The following is a 19160-nucleotide window of genomic DNA, read 5'->3' as shown; positions in this document are numbered from 1 at the left end:
CATTTTCCCAGCCTACCAAAATGATAACGCTGGGTTTTATTTTTGGAAAAAGTACTTTTCATCTTGTAAAAATTTAATGGCCTTTCAGTGACAGGGAAGTTCTGAGTGGTTTTCACTGGCTCTTTTCTGGCCGCAGCAGAAGGTGGATGCTACGGCTAGGACCTCCCCCTGCTTGAAGGGACAGCCAGGGAGAGGAAACACGCCCTCTGCATTGTCTGGGTGCTGCTGCTTCACAGATTGTGCCTGTACAACATTTTTTCTCTTCTTCCCTCTCTGAGCTAGAGGCAGGGCAGAGGTAGCCAGACCTTTAGAAAAGATTGCCAATATTAACATCTAACTTCTGATAGTACTTTTCTGTCTACAGATGTTTGAGTGCCTTAATTCCTTTATCTTTTAAGATTTGCAGGAGGAGCCAAGATGGCCGAATAGGAACAGCTCCGGTCTACAGCTCCCAGCGTGAGCGACGCAGAAGACGGTGATTTCTGCATTTCCATCTGAGGTACCGGGTTCATCTCACTAGGGAGTGCCAGACAGTGGGCGCAGGCCAGTGTGTGTGCGCACCGTGCGCGAGCCGAAGCAGGGCGAGGCATTGCCTCACCTGGGAAGCGCAAGGGGTCAGGGAGTTCCCTTTCTGAGTCAAAGAAAGGGGTGACGGTCGCACCTGGAAAATCGGGTCACTCCCACCCGAATATTGCGCTTTTCAGACCGGCTTAAGAAACGGCGCACCACGAGACTATATCCCACACCTGGCTCGGAGGGTCCTACGCCCACGGAATCTCGCTGATTGCTAGCACAGCAGTCTGAGATCAAACTGCAAGGCGGCAACGAGGCTGGGGGAGGGGCGCCCGCCATTGCCCAGGCTTGCTTAGGTAAACAAAGCAGCCGGGAAGCTTGAACTGGGTGGAGCCCACCACAGCTCAAGGAGGCCTGCCTGCCTCTGTAGGCTCCACCTCTGGGGGCAGGGCACAGACAAACAAAAAGACAGCAGTAACCTCTGCAGACTTAAGTGTCCCTGTCTGACAGCTTTGAAGAGAGCAGTGGTTCTCCCAGCACGCAGCTGGAGATCTGAGAACGGGCAGACAGACTGCCTCCTCAAGTGGGTCCCTGACTCCTGACCCCCGAGCAGCCTAACTGGGAGGCACCCCCCAGCAGGGGCACACTGACACCTCACACGGCAGGGTATTCCAACAGACCTGCAGCTGAGGGTCCTGTCTGTTAGAAGGAAAACTAACAACCAGAAAGGACATCTACACCGAAAACCCATCTGTACATCACCATCATCAAAGACCAAAAGTAGATAAAACCACAAAGATGGGGAAAAAACAGAACAGAAAAACTGGAAACTCTAAAACGCAGAGCGCCTCTCCTCCTCCAAAGGAACGCAGTTCCTCACCAGCAACAGAACAAAGCTGGATGGAGAATGATTTTGACGAGCTGAGAGAAGAAGGCTTCAGACGATCAAATTACTCTGAGCTACGGGAGGACATTCAAACCAAAGGCAAAGAAGTTGAAAACTTTGAAAAAAATTTAGAAGAATGTATAACTAGAATAACCAATACAGAGAAGTGCTTAAAGGAGCTGATGGAGCTGAAAACCAAGGCTCGAGAACTACGTGAAGAATGCAGAAGCCTCAGGAGCCGATGCGATCAACTGGAAGAAAGGGTATCAGCAATGGAAGATGAAATGAATGAAATGAAGCGAGAAGGGAAGTTTAGAGAAAAAAGAATAAAAAGAAATGAGCAAAGCCTCCAAGAAATATGGGACTATGTGAAAAGACCAAATCTACGTCTGATTGGTGTACCTGAAAGTGATGTGGAGAATGGAACCAAGTTGGAAAACACTCTGCAGGATATTATCCAGGAGAACTTCCCCAATCTAGCAAGGCAGGCCAACGTTCAGATTCAGGAAATACAGAGAACGCCACAAAGATACTCCTCGAGAAGAGCAACTCCAAGACACATAATTGTCAGATTCACCAAAGTTGAAATGAAGGAAAAAATGTTAAGGGCAGCCAGAGAGAAAGGTCGGGTTACCCTCAAAGGAAAGCCCATCAGACTAACAGTGGATCTCTCGGCAGAAACCCTACAAGCCAGAAGAGAGTGGGGGCCAATATTCAACATTCTTAAAGAAAAGAATTTTCAACCCAGAATTTCATATCCAGCCAAACTAAGCTTCATAAGTGAAGGAGAAATAAAATACTTTATAGACAAGCAAATGTTGAGAGATTTTGTCACCACCAGGCCTGCCCTAAAAGAGCTCCTGAAGGAAGCGCTAAACATGGAAAGGAACAACCGGTACCAGCCGCTGCAAAATCATGCCAAAATGTAAAGACCATCGAGACTAGGAAGAAACTGCATCAACTAATGAGCAAAATCACCAGCTAACATCATAATGACAGGATCAAATTCACACATAACAATATTAACTTTAAATATAAATGGACTAAATTCTGCAATTAAAAGACACAGACTGGCAAGTTGGATAAAGAGTCAAGACCCATCAGTGTGCTGTATTCAGGAAACCCATCTCACGTGCAGAGACACACATAGGCTCAAAATAAAAGGATGGAGGAAGATCTACCAAGCCAATGGAAAACAAAAAAAGGCAGGGGTTGCAATCCTAGTCTCTGATAAAACAGACTTTAAACCAACAAAGATCAAAAGAGACAAAGAAGGCCATTACATAATGGTAAAGGGATCAATTCAACAAGAGGAGCTAACTATCCTAAATATTTATGCACCCAATACAGGAGCACCCAGATTCATAAAGCAAGTCCTCAGTGACCTACAAAGAGACTTAGACTCCCACACATTAATAATGGGAGACTTTAACACCCCACTGTCAACATTAGACAGATCAACGAGACAGAAAGTCAACAAGGATACCCAGGAATTGAACTCAGCTCTGCACCAAGCAGACCTAATAGACATCTACAGAACTCTCCACCCCAAATCAACAGAATATACCTTTTTTTCAGCACCACACCACACCTATTCCAAAATTGACCACATAGTTGGAAGTAAAGCTCTCCTCAGCAAATGTAAAAGAACAGAAATTATAACAAACTATCTCTCAGACCACAGTGCAATCAAACTAGAACTCAGGATTAAGAATCTCACTCAAAGCCGCTCAACTACATGGAAACTGAACAACCTGCTCCTGAATGACTACTGGGTACATAACGAAATGAAGGCAGAAATAAAGATGTTCTTTGAAACCAACGAGAACAAAGACACCACATACCAGAATCTCTGGGACGCATTCAAAGCAGTGTGTAGAGGGAAATTTATAGCACTAAATGCCTACAAGAGAAAGCAGGAAAGATCCAAAATTGACACCCTAACATCACAATTAAAAGAACTAGAAAAGCAAGAGCAAACACATTCAAAAGCTAGCAGAAGGCAAGAAATAACTAAAATCAGAGCAGAACTGAAGGAAATAGAGACACAAAAAACCCTTCAAAAAATCAATGAATCCAGGAGCTGGTTTTTTGAAAGGATCAACAAAATTGATAGACCGCTAGCAAGACTAATAAAGAAAAAAAGAGAGAAGAATCAAATAGACACAATAAAAAATGATAAAGGGGATATCACCACCGATCCCACAGAAATACAAACTACCATCAGAGAATACTACAAACACCTCTACGCAAATAAACTAGAAAATCTAGAAGAAATGGATACATTCCTCGACACATACACTCTCCCAAGACTAAACCAGGAAGAAGTTGAATCTCTGAATAGACCAATAACAGGCTCTGAAATTGTGGCAATAATCAATAGTTTACCAACCAAAAAGAGTCCAGGACCAGATGGATTCACAGCCGAATTCTACCAGAGGTACATGGAGGAACTGGTACCATTCCTTCTGAAACTATTCCAATCAATAGAAAAAGAGGGAATCCTCCCTAACTCATTTTATGAGGCCAGCATCATTCTGATACCAAAGCCGGGCAGAGACACAACCAAAAAAGAGAATTTTAGACCAATATCCTTGATGAACATTGATGCAAAAATCCTCAATAAAATACTGGCAAACCGAATCCAGCAGCACATCAAAAAGCTTATCCACCATGATCAAGTGGGCTTCATCCCTGGGATGCAAGGCTGGTTCAATATACGCAAATCAATAAATGTAATCCAGCATATAAACAGAGCCAAAGACAAAAACCACATGATTATCTCAATAGATGCAGAAAAAGCCTTTGACAAAATTCAACAACCCTTCATGCTAAAAACTCTCAATAAATTAGGTATTGATGGGACGTATTTCAAAATAATAAGAGCTATCTATGACAAACCCACAGCCAATATCATACTGAATGGGCAAAAACTGGAAGCATTCCCTTTGAAAACCGGCACAAGACAGGGATGCCCTCTCTCACCGCTCCTATTCAACATAGTGTTGGAAGTTCTGGCCAGGGCAATCAGGCAGGAGAAGGAAATAAAGGGTATTCAATTAGGAAAAGAGGAAGTCAAATTGTCCCTGTTTGCAGACGACATGATTGTATATCTAGAAAACCCCATCGTCTCAGCCCAAAATCTCCTTAAGCTGATAAGCAACTTCAGCAAAGTCTCAGGATACAAAATCAATGTACAAAAATCACAAGCATTCTTATACACCAACAACAGACAAACAGAGAGCCAAATCATGGGTGAACTCCCATTCGTAATTGCTTCAAAGAGAATAAAATACCTAGGAATCCAACTTACAAGGGATGTGAAGGACCTCTTCAAGGAGAACTACAAACCACTGCTCAAGGAAATAAAAGAGGACACAAACAAATGGAAGAACATTCCATGCTCATGGGTAGGAAGAATCAATATCGTGAAAATGGCCATACTGCCCAAGGTAATTTACAGATTCAATGCCATCCCCATCAAGCTACCAATGACTTTCTTCACAGAATTGGAAAAAACTACTTTAAAGTTCATATGGAACCAAAAAAGAGCCCGCATTGCCAAGTCAATCCTAAGCCAAAAGAACAAAGCTGGAGGCATCACACTACCTGACTTCAAACTATACTACAAGGCTACAGTAACCAAAACAGCATGGTACTGGTACCAAAACAGAGACATAGATCAATGGAACAGAACAGAGCCCTCAGAAATAATGCCGCATATCTACAACTATCTGATCTTTGACAAACCTGAGAAAAACAAGCAATGGGGAAAGGATTCCCTATTTAATAAATGGTGCTGGGAAAACTGGCTAGCCATATGTAGAAAGCTGAAACTGGATCCCTTCCTTACACCTTATACAAAAATCAATTCAAGATGGATTAAAGATTTAAACGTTAAACCTAAAACCATAAAAACCCTAGAAGAAAACCTAGGCATTACCATTCAGGACATAGGCGTGGGCAAGGACTTCATGTCCAAAACACCAAAAGCAATGGCAACAAAAGACAAAATTGACAAATGGGATCTAATTAAACTAAAGAGCTTCTGCACAGCAAAAGAAACTACCATCAGAGTGAACAGGCAACCTACAACATGGGAGAAAATTTTCGCAACCTACTCATCTGACAAAGGGCTAATATCCAGAATCTACAATGAACTCAAACAAATTTACAAGAAAAAAACAAACAACCCCATCAAAAAGTGGGCGAAGGACATGAACAGACACTTCTCAAAAGAAGACATTTATGCAGCCAAAAAACACATGAAGAAATGCTCATCATCACTGGCCATCAGAGAAATGCAAATCAAAACCACTATGAGATATCATCTCACACCAGTTAGAATGGCAATCATTAAAAAGTCAGGAAACAACAGGTGCTGGAGAGGATGCGGAGAAATAGGAACACTTTTACACTGTTGGTGGGACTGTAAACTAGTTCAACCATTGTGGAAGTCAGTGTGGCGATTCCTCAGGGATCTAGAACTAGAAATACCATTTGACCCAGCCATCCCATTACTGGGTATATACCCAAATGAGTATAAATCATGCTGCTATAAAGACACATGCACACGTATGTTTATTGCGGCACTATTCACAATAGCAAAGACTTGGAACCAACCCAAATGTCCAACAATGATAGACTGGATTAAGAAAATGTGGCACATATACACCATGGAATACTATGCAGCCATAAAAAATGATGAGTTCATATCCTTTGTAGGGACATGGATGAAATTGGAAACCATCATTCTCAGTAAACTATCGCAAGAACAAAAAACCAAACACCGCATATTCTCACTCATAGGTGGGAATTGAACAATGAGATCACATGGACACAGGAAGGGGAATATCACACTCTGGGGACTGTGGTGGGGTCGGGGGAGGGGGGAGGGATAGCATTGGGAGATATACTAATGCTAGATGACACATTAGTGGGTGCAGCGCACCAGCATGGCACATGTATACATATGTAACTAACCTGCACAATGTGCACATGTACCCTAAAACTTAGAGTATAATAAAAAAAAAAAAAAAAAAAAAAAAAAAAAAAAGATTTGCAATGAGCAGAGATTTCCTTCCACTTGGTGTTAATATAAAATGATCATACATCTGATCATTAATATAAGACTTGGACCAGGGCTTCTAAAGGTTGAATATGCATCTGAATCACCTGGGGGATCTTGTTAAAAGGTAGATTCTGATCCTGTGTTTGTGGAGCGGGCTGCCAGGCTGCTATGGCTCCCAGGTGGTTCTGATGTTGCTGGCTCATGGACAGCACCTGCAGGAGCAAGGGAGGGTTCAGGATAACAGTAGAGGAGGGTGAGAAGGAGAAGATGCAGGTTCCCTCTTTTTGTTCTGAGGGTGTGTCTGTTCTCTTCTCACCCAGGATAATCATCCATCATCCAAGCCTACGTCCTTGGGAGGAAGCCTCCGCTACCAGCAAAGGCCCAGGAGGAGGCTGGGGGTGTGTGTTTCTTTGTGAAAAAAGATCACAGGGCTAGCAGTCATTGTTCTGAGAACAGCAGCTCTGGTTCTTCAGCTCCCCTGACAAATATTCTCCAGGATTCCAGAGCAGCAGCTGAGGCTGGAGGAGGTGAGCCTGCCATCAGAGGGTGTTAGTGGAAAGAAGCTCTGTGGACTCTTGAAAGCAACAAATTATCAGTTGTATTTGTTTTGAGGTTGTAGCAGACTAGGTAATTGAAAGAGAGGGTGAGGATGCTATTAGTCTGCTCCAAGATTTTTCCTTGTCGCAGACTGGATGGAGTGAAATTAAGCTCTCAAGTGCCAGGCCTTTTGGCCCGAGTCCCTGGCACACAGATGGTGTCACAGTTAGGCCAGCCCTCCTCCTGCTCCTGACACAAAGGTGATGAGGGCCTTTGGGCCTTGTAGGACTGCAACAGATGTTGTTTGGTTCCGGCAGCTGAGCAGGAGCCTCGGCTGCAATGTAAACATTTCATTGGCTCAGCCAGTTATTTTGCTGCTCTGCCTTTGAACAACTCCTTTCCTAGAGGTGTCTGTGTCCACCTGTCCAGGCTTTGGCTGGTTAGTTACCGAAGGGCAGGGGCTGTGATGCATTTCCAAAGCTTGCCCTGCTTGTCACTTAGCTTTATTGCAGAAGGCCTTAGATACAGACTTAGGGGGAAAGCAGACTCACTGACTGTCCAGATGCTGCAGCTGGTGAATCCCACTCACCACCTCTCTCATACACCCTGATAGAGGTGCTGGCTCGTCAGTGTTCATCATGGCTGGAGTAAAATAAAGCCGGCAGCCCTCAGTGTACAATGTCTTCAAAATTTTTAGAATATCTCCAACTAATTCGGATCAGTCCCTAGGACAAAGTTACAGCTAAGATTTTTCCAAAATAATTTTGGTAATGGTAAAGATTTTTTAAAAAATTAGAATGATGTCTTACTCAAATTAAGAAAAATGAGTTAAAGTAAAAGAATAGTCTCCAACTGATACGAGAGCAAATAATCCCAATTCATTTTAAATTGAAGATCTGAACTAGCAGGAGAATGTAAGTCCACAGTTGCCTACTGATATTTCTTTCAGAAGTAAGGAAAATACTGCTTATATTTCATGGAATGCCAAATCATGTCAAAACTGTAAATGACACTCTATCTGCTATCAGAAAATGAGTTTCAGGACATGCTATTTCTACATACAAGGGAGAAGTTGAAGTCCATAGGAGGAGCTCTGTTCACCTAAAGGTAAATGGGCTAATAGGTGGATGCTGCTGCTTGCTGCGAGTCACCCAATCCCAGTGGAACTGCAAGGCGACTTATAGCAGAAGATGTGAATTACCCTTTGTTCTCAATGGAAAGACTCTTCAGGACAGGCATGCCCACTACATTGTGTAGGACCATGGGTCTGTGTCATTCTCTTTGTCCCCAGTGCTGTCACACAAATACAGAAGACCAGATTATGTATGTCTTACTCTCTTGCCACACTCTCAACAACTATAGTATGGGTTCTTGTTCACCTGTTGGTCAGCTTGGCCCCGCCAGAGGCCCTTATGGATAGCAAATGACATTCATTGAGAAGCTACTTTGCACCAGGCACTTTCATGTACATCACCAAATCCCACCCCAGTGGGGTAAGGAACACTGCTTTCACTATTCTAATTATGAAAAATCCCAAACTTAAAGAGGTTTTCTATTGCTGTTTTTAAAGTCAAAGGCCACATGGCTTGTGTCTGAGCCAGGTTTCAAAGTCATGTTGACTCTCAGACTCTGTCCTTTCTGTTGGCCCTGCTAAACAGTGAAAGGGTGGGGACTTGCATTTGTGTACTGCCTTGCCGTTCACCAATGAAGCAGCCTTAATCCATGTGACATGTGGTCTCCTCTCTGCGGCACAAGAGGAAATGACTACAGTGGAGGCTGGCCATTCTGGCTTACTCTCAAGTTTGGATTTTAATGAATGAGGGATTTGAAGACAAAAAGTCACCACTGAGATGCTCAGTTGTGCCATGATGGGACAAGGAAGTGGCTGGGAGTCTGGGAGAAGAACCTGACTTTGTACTGTGCTAAGCATGGGTGCTGCTGCATCGGTGCACACAGTGGAGTCTAGGTGATTCACCTCATCAATAAACATCTACTGAGTTCCTTCTCTGTGCCAGCCATGGAGAGGCACTGGGAATTCAACGAGGAATATTCCGACACAGTCTTTATTTGGGGGAGACACCGTTCTTTGAGGAGATTCAGGATAGTAGGACAGAGCTGGCCCACACAGAGAAATGTAAAAGTTGTGCTAGGCAGATAAGCTAACCCCTCAGGATATTTTAGACTTGTTCTAGAACTTACTTTTCTTCTTGATGGCTGTACTCTTTATCCTAATGAGAGCAGCTTAGACAAAGAATGGAGACCATGTTTCTAACTCCATGCTCTTCGTTTATAGAAAGGTGCATTTCTGTTTTGAAAAACTGTTCTCTCTTCCGTGTAGAATATCTTGCTCTCATTAACTGTTATGTACCACTCGTGACAATTCACTGGTGATTTTTAGGACAGAAATTAGAGTCACAGAAACCTCTTCAACTTGTAAGAGAAATCTACAAGCTTCCTTCTGGGGGAAGTTTCTTCCCAGAACTAAAGCTGATTAACAACCAAACAACTATCCAGGGACTCTTGCAATGCACAAACCACCACCACATTAGAAGTGATGGGGAAGGGAGAAAACTGCAGAAGACCACATCAAAGAAAGCCGGTTTATGAGATTTAACTTTGAAAGGCTGACTGGGAAATGTTGGGGATGAAGCTTTTCTGACAGAGCTATTTGCCTGAGAAAGATGGTCAGAGCTCTTTCTGCTGAGAACTTTAGTCAATTACAATCACAGCTGCACTGCTGAGATGCCAATTTATACTCAGATGCTGCCAAATGGAGCAATTTCCATAAAATGCACCACATGCTTATTCTCCAAAGTCACTCTCTATTTTAACAAGCAAATGGTCACTACTTCAAGGATTCAACAGGCTGTGTGAAACTGACAAGCTGCTTAAGATTTCACATTTGAGCACATTGTTCTTGGACATGGAAGGGCCACTCTCTAAGGCTGAGAAAAGAGCATGAAGAACTGGTCCCATCAGTGAGAAACTCCTAGATTTGGTCATGATTATGCTCCAAGGTGTAATGGACTTGCATGATGGAAGCCATTCATACTAGCAAGAATCACTAGTGAATTTCTGAAGTTTGATTTGGGTAAGATACCATATGAGTTGAAACTATTCTACTGGATCTCCTATAATACAAAGTATGTTTTCTCAAGCACTTTTTAGCTGTAAAGGTAACAACGTAAATTTAAAATAGAAGTGCAGTTGGCAATTTATCCATTTAAATCATATACCTTGAAAGCCCTTTTTAATTTCAGAGTTTTACTGACACAGAGAACAAGGGAGAGTTTGGAGGAAATAAGAGAATTAAGAATGATTCATTATGAAGAGATATTATTGTAAGATTGGTTACAAGAGCAAGGGTTATTGGATAAGTTCAATTTGTAAGTACCTGCTGGGTGCCTATTGCATGTCAACACTGGGATGGGAAATGCTGGGGATACAAAACTACAAGTAATGTGTATCTTGCAGAAGCCTGCAATCTAAGACACTTAAATGCTGGCAAAAGTTATATTTATGGATTATTAGTTGTGATCTCCTTCTCATGAAATTTGATATTATTTTCTAGGGATGTCTTTATAATGCTTTTCACAATGAAGTATACCAATCAAGATTTTGGTATTTTGAGTGTTGGGAACTTTGTGAGGTATGCATTCATTTGTTAATTCATTCAATAAACATCTACTGAATAGCTTTTGTGTGCCAGACACTATATACTTCCCTTCTCTACAAAATTTTTCAATTTCTTTGGTAATAATTCCTGTTGTATGATACTTTCAGTTATAATACATGTGTTTCTACATCTGTTATTTCATTCCTTTCAGCAATCCTGTGAGGTTGGCAGGTGGATATTATTACAGATGATGAAACTAAGATTCAGAAAATTTAATTGTCTGGCTCAAGGTCACATAGCTAGTACGTTGGTGGGGGGAACAGAACTAGAAGCCATCTATTTTGACTCCACTTCAATAATTTTTCTTTCTTTTCTTTTCTCTATTTTCCCCCTTGAGAAAAGGTCTTACTCTGTCACTCAGGCTGGAGTGCAGTGGCGTGATCTTGGCTCACTGCAACCTCTGCCTTCCAGGCTCAAGTGATCCTCTCACCTCAGCCTCCTGAGTAGCTGGGACCACAGGTGCATGGCACCACACCTGGCAAATTTTTGTATTTTTATAGAGATGGAGTTTTGCTATGTTGTCCAGGCTGGTAGTTTTTCTATATGTCACAAAATTGCTATCCTTATTAAGAGCCACCATTTTTGTAGTGCTTTGTCACAGGCAGTAGGCAAAGTATTTTGTATACATTACCTCACTTAAATCCTCAAAATTACAACTTATGGGGAAGCCAAAACTCACATATATTAATTTGCTTAAGCTCATACATAGGTGGAAAAAAGTGACATTTGAACCCTTACCCTATACTGTTTCCCATTATGGGACACACTGTTTCCTTTCAGATGAGAACATAACATGAGGAATGTTCCAGTTCTGCATTATTGAACTCAAGTTCAGTTAGAATTAGAAGAAAAATGACTATGATACAAGTAATATACAGTAATGAATCCAGCCTGAATTATATTCATATTTTTCTCAATGCAATTATACAATTTTAATATGTTTTTTTAAAATGTATTTTTACTGCAGTAAGAACACTTGAGATCTACCCTCTTAACAAAATAAGTGCACAATACAGTATTGTTAAGTATAGGCACCACGTTGTACACAGATCTCTAGAACTTATTCATCTTATGTAACTGAAACTTTATGCTCATTGAACAGCAACCCCCCATTTCTCTCCCCTCTAGCCCCTGGCAACCAGCATTCTACTTTCTGGCTCTATGAATGTGACTACTCTAGGAACTTCATATAAATGGAATCATTCAGTATTTGTCCTTCTGTGACTGGCTTATCTCAGTTAGCATAATGCTCTCCGGGTTCATCCATATGGTTGTTGCATATGGTAAGATTTCCTTTTTTAAGGCTGGTAATATTCCATTGTATGTATATAGCATGTTTTCTTTATACATTCATCTGCTGCTGGACATTTAGGTGGTTTCCATGCCTTGGCTATTGTGAATAATACCGCAGTGAATAGGGGGGTGCAGATACCACCTTGAAATCCTGATTTTAATTCTTTTGGATATCAACTCAGAAGTGGGGTTGCCTGATCAGATGGTAGTTCTACTTTCAGTTTTTTGAGGAACTTCCACACTATTTTCTATAGTGGCTATACTCATTTACATTTCAACCAATAGTGTACAAGGATTACAATTCCTCCACATCCTTGCCAACACTTGTCTTTTTGATAACAGCCAATCTGTTAGGTGTGAAGCGATATTTCATTGTGGTTTTGATTTGCATTTCCCTGATGATTAGTGATGTTGAGCATCTTTAATATACCTGTTGGCCATTTGTGTGTCTTCTTTGGAGAACTGTCTGTTTAATTCTTTTGTCCGTTTTTAAATTGGGTTATTTTATTTTATTTTTTGCTATTGAGTTGTAGGAGTTCCTTACATATTTTGGATATTAATCCTTTATCAGGTATATGCCTTGCAAATATTTTCTCCTATTCTTTTAATATGGTTTTAATAAAGGAAGGATCCCACAAAAGCAAAAGTGCCTGAGGCCCATGAAAGTAAATATGCAGCTTTATTCCCTTGTCCCCTTCCTAATGTATCTAAACCCTTGAGGAGGGTCTGTGAGTTTAGTTTTCCTTGTGTTTGCTTCTCCCTTCAAACCCCTCTATCTGGTCTGGATGCACTCATCTACTTTTCTCTGCCTCTCAAGGCCACTTAAACCTGTTGCTGTCATCAAGCTCAAGGCAGGTAACTCAACCATACCCCAGTTCTTATCTCTGTGCAGCTTCCTGAGCTAGATGCGTTTCCTCTTTATGTTAGTGAAAGAACTGGTGCTGGCTTTGTATGGAGTGGTCATCTTCTTGGGGTCTGGCACCAATTTCTCTTACCAACAACTATCCCCTACCTTGCCCCCAATTTATAGTCATCTGCCTAGTTCTGATTTTGATAAATGAGGACTTTGGTGGAAAAAAGGAAGAGACTTTCCTGTTGAAGGGTCATTTGCTTTGTGATGGGTGGTGGTGATATTGGGATATGGAGAGGTCCTGGTTAGAGCCTTTCATGGACAAAGATGTGCACCTATGGCCCACACGTGCCCTTCTGATACTCAGCCATTTTTCTCTATTTTGAGTATTTCTACTTTTATGAACAAATCAATTTAGAACAACACATTTTATGTCTTGCTGCCTAAGCTATAACTCAGGCAACTAAGGTAGCATTATAAAAATGTTCACTTAAAGTAGACAATTAAACTTTGGAGTTGCTTTTAATAATGGGGTCCTTTTTTGGGTTTTTTTTGGTTTGTTTTGGGGTTTTTTTTGTTTGTTTTGTTTTTGAGACAGTGTCTTGCTTTGTTGCCAGGCTGGAGTGCAGTGGCATTATCTCGGCTCACTGCAACCTCTACTTCCCTGGTTCAAGCGATTCTCCTGTCTCAGCCTCCCGAGTAGCTGGGACTACAGGTGTGTGCCACCACGCCTGGCTAATTTTTGTATTTTTAGTAGAGACGGGGTTTCACCATGTTGGTCAGGATGGTCTTGATCTCTTGACCTCGTGATCCGCCTGCCTCAGCCTCCCAAAGTGCTGGGATTACAGGTGTGAGCCACTGCGCCCGGCCAGTAACGGGGTCCTTATTAGAATTGGAAAGCATGAATGTGTGATGATTAAAGAGCAAGAATAGGCTGGGTGCAGTGGCTTATGTCTGTAATCAAGCACTTTGGGAGGCTGAGGCAGGCGGATTCCTTGAGCCCAGGAGTCTGAGGCTACAGTGAGCTATGATTGCACCATTGAACTCTAGCCTGCGCAATGGAGTGAGACCCTGTCTCTAAAAAAAAAAAAATAAATAATAAAAAAAAAAACCCAAAATCAACCTCCACTGGCTTGTAGACTATTATTTCATTGGCCAATGAAATGAGTATCTGCCATGTTTACCAATCATTTCAAAGAACTGGATACAATTTTTCCTGTGAATCCTCATGTCATCCTTATGAGGTAAAACGCAGAAAGAAGATAACAGCCAAATAATGTTGGAATCTATCTACAGCGAGTGGCCATTGCTCCACCGCCCTAGTCTAGAAAGTGATAGTAGTGATGTCATCTTCATCTGACATAAAAGAAAAAAAGATTTTGAAATAGGGCTGCTGTCACTGGATGAATGGTTCAGGTCATACCATGTCTAGTATGTGCTAATAACTAACCTGAAGTGTGAGTGGATTTGTTGGGCATGCCTTCTCGAAACCTCAACAAGCAGGAGCAAAAAATGTCTCAACTCACTAGTTATATTCATGACAAATGTAGCTTGTGTCATTGTGGACTACTTTTTACATAGGTCTATAGATCACACACTCATTTGACTAAATTTAAACAAGAGCCATTGTTTATTATCAACAAGGTAATCTCTGGCCCACTGCTTTGTTTTGTTTTGTTTTTGGTGGAGAAAGGGTCTCCCTTTGTTGTCCAGGCTGGCTTTGAACTCCTGGGCTTAAGCAATCCACCCGCCTCTGCTCCCAAAGTGCAGGGCTTATAGGCGTGAGCCACCACTCCCGGCCTCTGGCCCACTGTTTTAAGACATGCTCAACACGGTACTTATTGTACAATATAGGTAACAACTTTTTTTATAAATGAGTAAATATTCACATCTGGAGCTACCTGATTTCTCATATCAAGCCATATGCTTCACAATATGGTATTTGGTGACATATTAATTAGGTGTTACTTGTGTAGATACTGTCTAAAATACAGGAAAATTAAGAAGGTTATAAAGGGATGGACAGTTGACCCATATCTCCAAGTCATTGGCTAATTATTCATTTATCATTATTTATTAAACTCCTACTATATGCCAGGCAAAGTGCAAGATATAGTTTGGGATTTAGAAATTCCTTGGGACTCAGAGCTGAAAGACATAGTCCCTGTCCTCAAGGGGGCAAGTCCTTTGGGACAGTGTGCAATACTGAGATGTGTAGGATGCTGTGAGAGCACAGAAAAGGGCCACAGGCACACACTGGGGGTTCTGGGATACCTCCCTGGAGAGGCTGACACTTCCACCTGAATTAATTTCAAAGCCTGTGATTAATTTAATTGGGAGTCCCTAACTTAAAAAAAATACCTACCTTCCTGTGCTAAAGCATTAAAATAAATGAGATGAGAATTTTGATTTTCTTTTAAAAAATAGTAAAATGAGAGGTGCCCATAGCAGTTGTTGGGTTGCTTGTAGGAAGCACACCCACTTCTCTGAATGCTCCTGCAAGTGGGTCCTGAGAGGTTCAAGAATGTTACCTTGACAAACGTGTATTCCCAAAAGGATTGTTCTGAAATGTGTTCAAACAGAGCAACTGCAATAACAAGAATTTTAAGCTTAACTCTCAAAATCAAGTACTTTTGGAGTGGAAAACTTGATAATTTTGGGATCCTGTGTGTGCCTATCTTGTACCTGTTAGGCAAAGGTGTTCAGTAGAAACTTAAGTTGGGTAATTGAAGCTGAGGTCGAAATAAATCTGTGCAAACACACTTAAAGGACAGTTTCCTATTTTCTCAGCTTGCTCCATTGACTGTCCCTATGGGCACTTTACTGAATTCAGATATCACCAATGTTTGAAGCAGATAATGTTTCTGTTTTCCAGTAGAATGCTCTCAGTATTGAGTGGAACTGGGAAGGATGGCTTGTCAAGTCACACACACATTGGGAAGAGCAATGCGAGTGTGTTCCAGGAGTAACACAGCAGAAGTTTCACAATGAGAACAGTTTTTCTCCAAAGTCAGAATGCTCAGCATACTCAGATGTTTTTGTTGGCCTTTTCCATTACTGATAGCTCTTTGTGGTCCTCATTTCCAACATCTGAATGACAATGTGCAAAGAGTTGAAATGGGTCATTAATTCAACAAATATTTATGGAGTGACCACAATGGGGCAGGTCTTGTGCCAGGAGCTGGGATACATCACGGCCTCTGCCTTTGTGGACCTCATAGTATAGGGTGAGAGACAGATGGTATCACACAAACAGATTACTGCAAACACATAGATGATTACAAGTAGCACTGAACACCAAAAGGAAAGGGACAAAGTGAAGTTAGAGTGGATGGGGGTCAGGGTGTTTCCTTAGGATGGTCAGGGGATGTTTTGCTGAGGAGGTGACATTCAGAAGAGACCAGAAGGATAAGTAAGAGGCAGTGAGTTGAAGAGCAGGAAGACAAGAATACAGAAGGCATGAAAGAGTTTAGTGTGTTGGCAACTCTGAAAGTCAAAAGCTTTTAAGAAGTAAAGCTTTTATAATTTCGGAGTTCTGCGAATGGCTCTTATGTAAGCAACGAAGGAGGGGTGAAGACTAATATTAAGCAATTGTTATGGGACTATTCTAAGTGATTTTATAATGATTATCATCACCATTGTTAATTATTTAGTGAGTGTCAAGTACTGTGCTATATGTATTCAAAATACATTTTCTCATGAAATCGGCCAAACAAAATATGTCCTTGGAGTTCCAGGGGACTTTTTTCAGAGAGAGAAAGAACGGAAAAGAACAATAAGATGGGGCAGACAGGAAACTGAGGCATAGGCCTGGGCACTAGATGCTTTGGGGCAGAGTATTTCTATAGTTAGCAGAGGGGTATCTGGTCCTGGTGGAGGGAATAGAATCCCAAGCCTTTGGGGGCCAAGCAAAGGACAATAGTAAGCGATGGGGAATGAAAACAGGAGTGGCAAGGGACCCTCAGGCGTTTCTGAGCAGAGGCCAGGCATGCTTAATTTATGGCTACAACTCAGCCAACAGCAGGATGAAGTAAAGGGAAAGGCCCAGAATAATCCTCAGAGGTCAGCCAGGAGCCTGTTGCAATAATTCTGGGAAGAGACCAAAGGCCTCTCCCAGGAGAGTGGCCACAGGCAGATGAGAGAGACACAGGTGAGACAGGTGGGAGGTGAATGAGGCCCAGCAGGAGGTTGGGGGAGAAGATGAAACCTGTTAGGTGTCAGCAGGACAAACATATAAGTATCTAATGCTGGTTCTGATTCCTTCTCGCACCCACTTCATTAAACCAAACAGAATCCCTTCTGAGAGATTTAATTAACCAGGGCTCTAATAGAGCCTGGCCGGCAGCAATTCCTATTCCTTCACAAATGCTCTTGAAGAAACATCAGATGGCTAATCAAGCCGTGCAAGGAAAGAGGAGAAAGTGCTGGAATGCACTCTATATAACATGCTGTCTGTAGAATCCTATTACAGTCACCTTCGTCTTTCTGCTACTTTCCATATCTCTATTGGCAAATTACATGTCAGCACACATCGGTATTCACAGAATGCATCAGAAACCTCACCTATCTTGATCCTTAATCATTAGCTCAGAGCTCATACTCCTCTGACACATGTACACTGTAGGTTGACCTTAATGGAAATGCAATAAATTATTTATACCTCCTCTACCACAGGCAGAAGTGTGTCTACTAAGGGAACTCACAGGTTTTTTGCTTTGGTTTTTGTTTCAAAGAACCAGGATAAAAGAGAATAGCTTTAGAATAAATGACCCACCTTAAAGACATAAAAGATAGACTTTAGAATGAAACAATTTTGCATTTTCATAGATCTATTTAGTGGATATTTTCCTTGATAGGGAGCATGAAAGGGCCACCATTGTCTTCTGGGTGGACACTGGGGGCACTGGACTCTTCAACCTGATGTTTATTACTCATTTAATGACTTTTGTGTCCTTTAAGCTCTGATCCTTTGCCTTGGCCACCACACAGTCATTCTATCCAGGAAGTACAATTGGTTTGAATCAGGATTAGGGAATCAGTTGAGACAACTGAGGCAATTGTGAGGCAGTCTGGAGTTTGGTTTGAGAAATCAGTGGTTTTTCCCTCCTCTGTCACGTGGGTAAGTGTGCAAAAAGCGACTATTCCCCCACCTCCCCTCTTTTTCTTTGGAGACAGTTTCTCTGTCACTCAGGCTGAAGTGCAGTGATGCCATCTTGGTTTACTGCAACCTCTGCCTCCTGGGCTCAAGTGATCCTCCCACCTCAGCCTCTCAAGTAGCTGGGACCATAGGCACATGCCACCACACCTGGCTATTTTTTTTTGTAGAGACGAGGTTTCGCCATGTTGCCCAGGCTGGTCCTGAACTCCATGGCTCAAGCCATCTGCCTGCCTTGGCCTCCTAAGTTGCTGGAATTATAGGCATAAGCCACCATGTCCAGCAGTGGCTATGGCCTTTTTACATACCTTGTCACATTTTCACAAGTTGGCGGGCTGCCATGGGGGCTCTGTTACTGTCTCAGAGGCTGGAGGCCTGTAAAGGAATGTCCTGTGTATGTACAGACACCAACTCTTAGATCACTGACCACTAATGATGACACAATGGTGAAGGCCCAGGTGGGAAGACAGCTCAAACAGCACTGCTGATAGGGATGCTGATACAAATATATACCTGTTTTTTTCTTTTCCTTTAAAGGATTTTTTAGTTGACCTGGGTTTTTGCATAATAATCTGGTGTGAATTCTGAAATCCACTAAAATATACAAAAACCTAATAAAAATTCCACGAATTCAAAATTTATTATCATTTTGATAGGCTCAAGCTGTGTTGGCTTATTTTTGCTTGGTAAATGCTTTCTTAATAGTGTAAAATTAATAGTGCAAACCAGATTGCAGAGGGAATGTTTAAAATACTTACAGGACAAATTGTTTTCAGCTCTGACAAGCCCTGTAGGAGTGCTGTTTACATAGAAACAAATGACATGCTGCTTCTAAACCATTAGAATTTATTAATTAAATCAGATCTTCCCTACTAGGCAGAACTGAATTGGATTATTTTGAGTTATTGTATGGTTTTTTGAGAGAATGAAACTGTACTTCTTAACATTATATTGTAATTAAAAAGAATACTTGGAATAGGGCAAAAAACATGGGCTTTGAAATCAGAAAAGTCTGAATTTGTATCACAGGTTTTTAATTTAACCATCTTTGTAACTTTGGTTGGGTGGCTTAATGTCTCCGAACTTTAGTTTTCTCATAGATAAAGTGAAGAGTGTATGCTGACCTTTGTGAGTCTCTATGAAGATACCACAGTTACCTGTAAAGCTGCCAGAACCACT

The 19160-nt window shown here is 41.7% G+C and overlaps 1 protein-coding gene and 1 long non-coding RNA gene across 2 annotated transcripts in view, besides 2 other annotated features; one reads left to right on the top strand and one right to left on the bottom strand.

Annotated features, from left to right (window-relative positions):
• The window catches only part of KCNB2 (potassium voltage-gated channel subfamily B member 2), a 401125-nt gene that overhangs the window by 56356 nt on the left and 325609 nt on the right, over positions 1 to 19160 (bottom strand). The gene's annotated exons all lie outside the window — the stretch shown is intronic.
• Positions 134 to 724: an enhancer, noted in NCBI's record as "OCT4-NANOG-H3K27ac-H3K4me1 hESC enhancer chr8:73793505-73794095 (GRCh37/hg19 assembly coordinates)". NCBI's record gives its function as "activates a minimal SCP1, AML or CMV promoter by ChIP-STARR-seq in primed H9 embryonic stem cells {active_cell/tissue: H9 hESC(primed)}" and the evidence as "EXISTENCE:reporter gene assay evidence [ECO:0000049][PMID:30033119]".
• KCNB2-AS1 (KCNB2 antisense RNA 1) lies at positions 196 to 10703 on the top strand. The gene is made up of 3 exons (NR_199040.1): positions 196 to 295; positions 399 to 499; positions 6791 to 10703. It is a non-coding gene; the product is annotated as a KCNB2 antisense RNA 1 (long non-coding RNA).
• Positions 725 to 1316: an enhancer, noted in NCBI's record as "OCT4-NANOG-H3K27ac-H3K4me1 hESC enhancer chr8:73792913-73793504 (GRCh37/hg19 assembly coordinates)". NCBI's record gives its function as "activates a minimal SCP1, AML or CMV promoter by ChIP-STARR-seq in primed H9 embryonic stem cells {active_cell/tissue: H9 hESC(primed)}" and the evidence as "EXISTENCE:reporter gene assay evidence [ECO:0000049][PMID:30033119]".

Source organism: Homo sapiens, chromosome 8 (genome assembly GCF_000001405.40).
Source record: "Homo sapiens chromosome 8, GRCh38.p14 Primary Assembly".
Classification (NCBI taxonomy): Eukaryota; Metazoa; Chordata; class Mammalia; order Primates; family Hominidae; genus Homo; species Homo sapiens.
Note: the sequence above shows the minus strand (reverse complement) of the source record. Positions and strands in the feature narration are given on the sequence as shown.